Source organism: Homo sapiens, chromosome 1, assembly GCF_000001405.40.
Source record: "Homo sapiens chromosome 1, GRCh38.p14 Primary Assembly".
Classification (NCBI taxonomy): domain Eukaryota; kingdom Metazoa; phylum Chordata; class Mammalia; order Primates; family Hominidae; genus Homo; species Homo sapiens.
In genome coordinates, this window is record NC_000001.11 from 228,910,978 (window position 1) to 228,919,442 (window position 8,465).

The 8,465-nt window shown below is 45.7% G+C and overlaps 1 annotated feature.

Moving 5' to 3' along the window:
• Positions 7,965 to 8,465: an enhancer, noted in NCBI's record as "H3K4me1 hESC enhancer chr1:229054689-229055189 (GRCh37/hg19 assembly coordinates)". NCBI's record gives its function as "activates a minimal SCP1, AML or CMV promoter by ChIP-STARR-seq in primed H9 embryonic stem cells {active_cell/tissue: H9 hESC(primed)}" and the evidence as "EXISTENCE:reporter gene assay evidence [ECO:0000049][PMID:30033119]".

Below are 8,465 nucleotides of genomic sequence, written 5' to 3' on the forward strand. Positions count from 1 at the left end.
GTTAAATTTTTGTTTTTCTCTAAGAAAGGCCAATTCTGTTCAACTTTTGGATACAGAAAAGTGCAAAGTCCTTCTCCAGATGGCTTTGGGGCTCTCCCTCTCTGGGAGTTAACATTGGGGTAACACAAACCTGATTGTGAAAATCAGCACCAGGGGCTCCTATCACTGGGGGGCAACTCAGCAATTCCAGAGCCGTGCGACAGAAACACATCAGTTTACAAACCTGCCAAGGCCTCTCTCATTATTTCACCTTCCCAACGCGAGTCCAGTTGTGTTTTATTCATCAGAAATATAGATTTTTATTGTTTACCCTTCCCTCTCTTTAAAGGCGGTGATTGTGGTGATCTGTCACCGAAGTCCAGCCCCCGTCCCTCAGGGGGCTTTCTCCCCCTCCCCCTTTCCAGCACTTGATCCTCTGCCAGCTGCTCTCCTGTGGGTCTGCAAGAGCCCAACTGTTGGGAGGTAACTCGTGGGGCCAAGGGGAAGGGGCTTTTGTTTCCTGTTGTCCGAGGGGGTGGGTCTGGGTAGAAGGATGATGTTAAATGTGAGGAAAAGTGCATTAAAAATGCACATGGATTATCCATTGATTTGCTGCTCAGGACCCAATTTCTCTCTGCACAGAACAATTTGATTTATCCTCTGGTCTCCACGGGTTGTGAGCAGCACACGTGTTCCCTGCCAGAGCGATCGTGTACGTGTCTGAAGGACAAAGAGGGGCAGGCTGGCTGTCTACCCTGGGGTCCCAGGCCAAGGTAGGGAGGATCACTAAAATTGTGGGTGATTTTAGAAAAATCGAAGCTACTCTTAACAGCCCAACAACAGTCTCATCTCAAATGAGGCAATTGTCCCAATTTTCTTTGTTTCATTTTGCTGAACAAGCCTGTTTTTATAAACATCAGGAAGATTTAGAAAAGAAAATGAGGGTGGGGAGGGGGAAGAGATGAAACCATTGATTTGAGGGCAAAAGCTCCCCCATTTGTCAGATGAAAAGGCCTTCAGAAATCCCTCTGTGAAAAGGCAGCTCAGCTTCCTGGCTTTCTAGCTCAATCCTGACTCACAAGCAGGGCAAATCCAGGTTTTGAAGAGCCTGATGCTTATAAAATCTGGGGGACACTCGTTAAGAAAAAATAACACAAAATTACAATTACAAAATTGCTGGGGCCTGTTTCAGGGCCTTGGAAAGGGCTCAAATAAGGGAGGGACCCTGAAGGCTTAGCTTTGTTAACTTCATGGTATCATCTTTGCTCACGGAATACTTAGTTTATAAAAGCAGAAAGGTCTATCCTGTGTTGTAAGATACGCAGATGTATATAAAGTAAATGAGTAAACTAGGATGAATTTGAAGATGGAAAACTATGTGCAATGGCAGAAGCCGTGATATACATAAAGTGAGACAGAGCATAAGTAAGGTAACAAATTGACACTCAAGCCCACCCATTTAGAAAACAGTAGAATGCACAAAGAAGTATCAGGGAAAAAAGAAAAAAGACTTTTAGTAGTCAAAATTGATGCACAAAATTCAGTTACTTGATTTTAGCCCAAAGCCTTGGGCCCAATGTGCTCTGGGAAGCATGCACTGAATTTCGGGGTCTATGGGAGCCCTGAGTCTCACGTTGGTTCACTTCTCACCAGCAGTCTGGTCCCTGGTGTTGTGGATTGCAGCCTCTCCCCTCACCCCCTGTCAGTTAACGCCCCCCGAGTACATCCCAGGAGTACATCCCACTCCCAAACACTTCGCACACCTGGCTCTGCTCTCTCTTTTCTCAGGCCATTTACCTCCTTGGTTCAGGCCCTTCTCACATCTTGTCTCAATTATTTAAAGAACTTTCCAACTGGTGTCCAGGTTTCTATCTTGCTCCTACCTCCACATAGCTGCTGCTGCTGCTGGGAATAAAGGGAGGATTTCTAGAGTGGTTGGATGTAATATTCAAACACTTCTCAAGTCATTTTAAAGTGTTAACTTCAACTCTTACACAGTTTGAGTTTTGCCTTTTTAAAAAAAAATCAAAATAAAAAAAACACATTTTCCTAATGCAAATTTTCTGAAATTTTTATTTGAAAGGAAATAAGGCTAATGGGAAATAGCTGATTTAAAAGTGCAAGAGGATAACTTCATATCCATCAGCAAATGAATGGCTAAAAGAATGTGGTATATCCATACAGTGGAATATTATTTAACCTTTCAAAGGAAAGTTTGGAAACATTCCACAATATGGATATTCTACAACCTTGAAAATATTATGCCAAGTGAAATAAGTCAGTCATATAAGAACAAATGCTGTATGATTCTGCTTATAGGAGGTACCTAGAAGAGTCAAATTCATAGAGACAGAAAGTAGAATGGTTTCCAGGGGCTGAGGGGAGGGAGAAATAGTGTTGAACAGGTATAGTTTCTGTTTGAGAAGATAAAAAGAGCACTAGAGCTGAGTACTGGTGACGTTAGAATAACCATGTGAATGCACTGAATGCCACAGAGTACACATTTAAAAATGGTTAAATGTTGAATTTTGTTACATATGTTTATCATAATTTAAAAAATTACAAGACAGATTTGTAGCTATAACTCCTACTGCCTCCAAGCTGAGAGAGACTTTCTCCAAAAGCAGTTCCTTGCAGGCTCAGACCTTTCCAAATACAACATCCTCAAACATGGAAAATTCACAGACATGCACTTTCATCTGGTTTAGGGACATCAAATGTGGTAAACCTGCTTTAAATTGAAAAAAAAAAATCATAAGACTTTTTCTTCCAAATGATTAAGAAGTAACACAACACCAGAATTAGAGTTAGCCGCCAAGGCACACACATAATCCTGAGTAAGGAGCTCCATTTCTGCATGAATAATCCAAGCAGGCCAGCAGGGAAGCCATGTGGCTCCCAGGACGCAGCTGTGGGCTCTGAGATTTGAAAGGCCGGCAGAATAGGCCTTTTTTTGCTGTTAGTGGTGGCAATGTGACCCAGGTCAAGCCATTTAACCTGCCAGGATGGTCACTTCCTTCTCCCCAACCCTAGCTATAAATCTGGGTCAGGGGTAATTGCACCCCATCCTCCAGCTACCCTGGGGAGGGGCCTTGGGGAGGGCTAATGAGAAATGGAGTGGGGAAGGCAGGGAGCTCATTTGTGGGAGGCGTGATACAACACAAGGCATTTTGTAGCACCCAGCAACCTGGGTCTGTTGTGCTCACATCCCATCCTGCTGAATCTGGCCTTTAATAAATAACCACACAAAGACAGGGCAGCTCTAGACTGGAAAGCGTGCTAATGGAAAACCCGCCATCAAGGAATTGGCCGCTCTCTGTGCTAATACTATTCCCCTAGTGAGGCAGCCCAGCTTCAGTGAAGTCAACTCTTACAGCATCAGCAATTCTAAACTCCCTCCTGGGAAACGGCAGTTTTCATATTGCTCAAAATTATAATTTCCACTTAAAATGATGTATTGGTGAGAGACCATTATGAAAACCATCATACATACCTATTTATGACACAACAGCCATTCATATATATTTATATATGATACATAATATACTTTTTAAATGTTAAAAATAAATAGCTTTATAAATAATGTAAAAATATTTACTACTCTGTTGATTTTGGATTTCAACAATCCAAAATCAAAGTTGATTTTTTGATTGTTTTTTATTTTCCTCTCTTTCTTAAAAAAAGTATACAAACATACACATACACACATTGGCTTTTGTTTGTTACTAGCTTGTTCACCTCCAAGGCTGGTGGTAAAAATAAATAAAACCTTCATTATTTCTCCAGCATAGAATGACTACATGTGGAGAATTACATTTAGAATGAGAATCATAAGATTTATTTCAGGATTTATGAGATGATAGAAGCCATTGTGGCCTCCTCATCCCCATGTCACAGATGAGTACATTGAAGTTAAAAGGAAGGAAATGACTTGTCTAAGCACAGTGCACATTTGTGTAGAGCTGGGGTGTAAAGGGGCCCTCTAACCTGTGCCTCGAGCACCTTGTTCTGTGTCCTGTGCACTCTCTACAACTTAGGGGCTGACCAGGCTGTTTTTACACTATTCCAAATCTCATTTTTACCTTTACCCTCAAGCCCCAGCCCCCTCTATACCACTTTTGATCATTTCACCATTGGAGGAAAGGAAAGTGGGAAGTGAGGGCACAGGATAGCTTGAAAAAACAAATATTTGAAACGACTGGTTACGTGGGCCTTAGATTTTAAAGATAACCATCTTACTGCATGCCTCATTATTTTAAGTAATCAAAGTTGGCTCATTTAAGTACCTTATCTATATCTCTAAGATAATGGGAGTTATTGCTCACTGAGCACTGATTAGGTGCCAATTCCAGGCATCAATTTAAGTGTTTATTACTTATCTAATTCTCACAACCACTACCAGGACACAGGTATTACCACTGTCATACCTATTTCACAGATAAGAAAACTGAGGCACTGAGGGGTTAAGTTACTCTTTCTTACTCCACCCCACTGCACTGCCCACCCCACTGGCAATGGCTATTGCTTTCTCTGTCCCCTTTCACCTGCATGATAAACAGTCATTGAGGCCTAAGATATTGGGTGAACTGGGGCAGGCTCTGGGGAGCCAGAGGTGATTTAGGCAGCACTCCCAGTCTCCAAGCTTGGATATTTGTCCCCCACAAATCTCATGTTGAAATGTCATCCCCAGTGTTGGAGGTGGGGCCTGGCAGGAGGTGATGAGATCATGGGGGCAGATTACTGATGAATGGCTGGGGCCATCCTCTTGGTGATAAGTGGGCTCTTGCTCTGAGTTCACACAAGATCTGGTCGTTTAAAAGTGTGTGACACCTGGCTGGGCGCAGTGGCTCACGCCTGTAATCCCAGCAATTTGGGAGGCCGAGGTGGGCAGACCACGAGGTCAGGAGACTGAGACCATCCTGGCTAACACGGTGAAACCCCGTCTCTACTAAAAAATACAAAAAATTAGCCGGGCATGGTGGCAGGTGCCTGTAGTCCCACTTACTCAGGAGACTGAGGCAGGAGAATGGCATGAACCTGGGAGGTGGGGCTTGCAGTGAGCCGAGATCGCGCCACTGCACTCCAGCCTGGGTGAGAGAGCGAGACTCCGTCTCAAAAAAAAAAAAAAAGTGTGTGACACCTCGCCCCACCCCTGACTCTCTCTCACTTGCTCCTGCTGTTGCCATGTGCCGTGCCTGCTCCCTGTTCACCTTCCACCATGACTGTAAGCTTCCTGAGGCCTCCCTAGAAGCCAAGCAGATGCCAGCGCAATGCTTCCTGTAAAGCTTGCAGAAGCATGAGCCAACTAAACCTCTTTTCTTTATAAAGTACCCAGTCTCAGATATTTCTTTATAGCAGTGAAAGAACGGCCTAACGAGGGGCACAGGCACAACCACAGTGGAGATGGTCTGAGAAGGCCTCGCAGCACAGATGCTGAGGGGGATGCAGCGACCTCCTGAAGGGAGGCTGGAGGCAGTTTCCACACAGAAGGTAAGATTTTAACTGGTTATTTAAATGAACTAGAACTTAAATGAACAAGACCTCCCCCACCCCCAGTCAAGAGGTAAAAAGGGCATTTCCAGCACAGGACACGGCAAATGCAAAAGTTCAGAAGTCTGAAGGAATATATTTTTCATTTACGTCCCCCAACACACTTTTAAAAGGCCTCACTCTATTGCTCAGACTGGTCTTGAATTCCTGGGCTCCAGTGGGGATTACAGTGTGAGCCACTGTGCTGGTCCCCAGTACACGTTTATTCTTATGACAGTGACTGTTGCTTTAACAGTGACACTGCAGGGAAGACAGAGGAGGAATGTGTGGTCATTCTCTCTAAATGCAATCTTCTCATAGCTGTCCTGGCCTCCTTTGGCTAGGGAGGTGGAGGGGGCCAGGTAGGGAATATGAAGCAAAGGATGACCATAGAATGGTTTGGTATCTAGCTGCCTCCCCAGAAAGCTTAGCATGAGAGAGAGCATGGGCTGCACCAAGTCAGACTGGTCAAAACTGGATTGAGTTATGTTCATGTTTCTTCACAGTAGTGGGAATGGGCCAAGTTAGAATTTAGGATAGGAAAGTAAGTGGCTATCAGGGAAGACATTGAAAATTTGGAAAGTGAGTCTGGCACAGTGGCTCGCACCTATAATCCCAGAACTTTTGGAGGCCAATGCGGGAGGACTGCTTGAACCCAGGAGTTTGAGACCAACCTGGGCAATGTGGCGAAACCCCATCTCTACAGATTTTATTTTCTTTAAGTTAGTTGGGAGTGGTGACATGCACCTGTGGTCCCAACTATTCAGGAGGCTGAGGTGGGAGGGTTGCTTGAGCCCAGGAGGTTGAGGCTGCAGTGAACCATGATTGCACCACTGCACTCCAGCCTGAGTGACAGACTGAGACCCTGACTCTCAAAAATTTGGAAAGCAATAATGGAAGGGGCCTTCAGCACAGGGACAGTGAGGAAAATGCTTCTTGTGCAGAAAAGAAAATGACCGGTAAGGGGGCTTGTGGCAGAGGAAGTGACTGACAGTGAGGGGCATGCTGGATCTGGACTGTGCTGACACGGCCACGGACACGGATACCAGGGCCTACGAGCGCTGACCTTGAGCTGGGTCTGAAACAGAGACGGCACCTTGAAATGACCACATGCCATCGAAGGTAAGGTAAGGGCAGGCAGGGAGCTGGCCCTGGGGCATGTCCGACAACTCTCCCAGGGGAGTCCTAGAGGACTGCACAGCAGACACAGGTGTGGGTGCCTGAGATGGCCCCACTTCAGGCCAGAACTCTAACCCAGTGGGGGAGCGTCTGTGCTTGTTGCCTCTGACATCTTTTCTCTTCATCTTTGCATTGCCTGCATTTCAATGTATAGAGGATGTATGCCATGGGTCTGTGTCTATCCACAGATGTTTCTAATGGATCCACTCAAATTCTTACATTCCAGTGAACTCATTTGTTAGTGGAGGCAGTTGAATCATTACACCTATTAAAACATGGATTAACCACAGAATAAATGGGTTGGGGTTTGTTCACAGTGGGGGGATCATTGATCATGGGATGACATTCATCAGGATGCATCTGGCATGCGTCTGGGAGGGATCGGGGTTGGGTGGGGCTGGACAGAGCAGGGAGAGATGAAACAAGGGCTTGTTTTTTTTGGAGCAGACAAGGGCCTCTATATGCTACCTTCTAGCAGCTCAGTGGGGAAGGCGATGCTTTCAGTAACCATCCCAGATCCTCCAATGACACCTATTCTGTGCTCGTGTGTGTTTTTCTTCACAGTTCTCCATAAGTGCGGGACGGGTGGTGCAGCGCTGTGTATAATTCAAGCTGCAATTATGAATTTTGGTTGGGCCTCTGCCTGTGATATGAGGCTGACCAAAGAACAAGTCTGTCATTTGTTTCCGGTATGTGTTTAGAAAATAAGCTAGGCTACAAAATCATAGGATTAGCTGAGCTCTTCCTTCCTGGGAGAAAAGTACAGGATAGAGGCTGTGAAGGAAACACAAGGGCAGCCATCCTGGACTCGATACAGGGGGCTGTCACATTGGACTGTTCTGCAAACACCACCAGTGACATTTGACCCAGAGCTGTCAATGCCTGTTGGCTGCTGGCCCCTGCTGATGGGCCCGCTCACTCTTTCAGAAAGGTGTGAAGTGGTGTGGCTGATACAGGCTGGAACACTGACCTGATAAATCTGTCGCTGAAGAATCCCAGGGAACCTTAGGAGAAGTAGGGTTGGGGCAATAGTTCTGCATCTTGTGGAGATGCTCTCCCACTGAATGTTTCTGCTCTATGTGCCCATTAGGAACAGAACTCTTCAGGCTGACTTCAGCCTGGCTGGATGCAGAAATACCCTCAACAGAGATCCCAGAGTATTCAGCCAAGAGCCTGCCTCTCTGTATTACCCATGCCTTTTGTTTTTTGTATTCTGATGCTTTGACATCAGGGGTCTTGCTGACCCTGGAGGGGCTGCCCCTCCCAGGGCCAACCAATCCCTGGAGATAGCAAAGGGCTCACCTGCAAGCTGCAAGCATGCCTTTCCTATGCAAACCAACCGAAGCAGGGCCCAGCCTCTCAGCAGCTCCTCTATGGGGCTTTTACATTCTAGGCCACTGTCCCCTGCCTTCATCACCCCAGGACCAGGTACAGATTAAGAACAGCCCTATGCCCCAGAGCCTGTTGAAATTTATTCAGACTAGCCAATCCTAAGCCTTTTTACCCTGCCTCACACACTTCTCACAAAAACCACAATGAAGGCTCTGGCCCATAGCCCCCTTCCTTCTGCCTTCTGGCCCACCGTGGTGCTTCCCTATATGGCCCACTCGGTGCGATGCAGCCCCTCCTCATGGGAACTGTGAGTAACAAGCTGTCTTTTTCATGGCAGTTGTCTCCTGATCTGTTGGCCCCATCACACCTGAATCATAATAAAACCTATATTATATTTTAATTTGTGTTTTTTTAAATCCTAGACATTTAATCGTACATTTTGCATC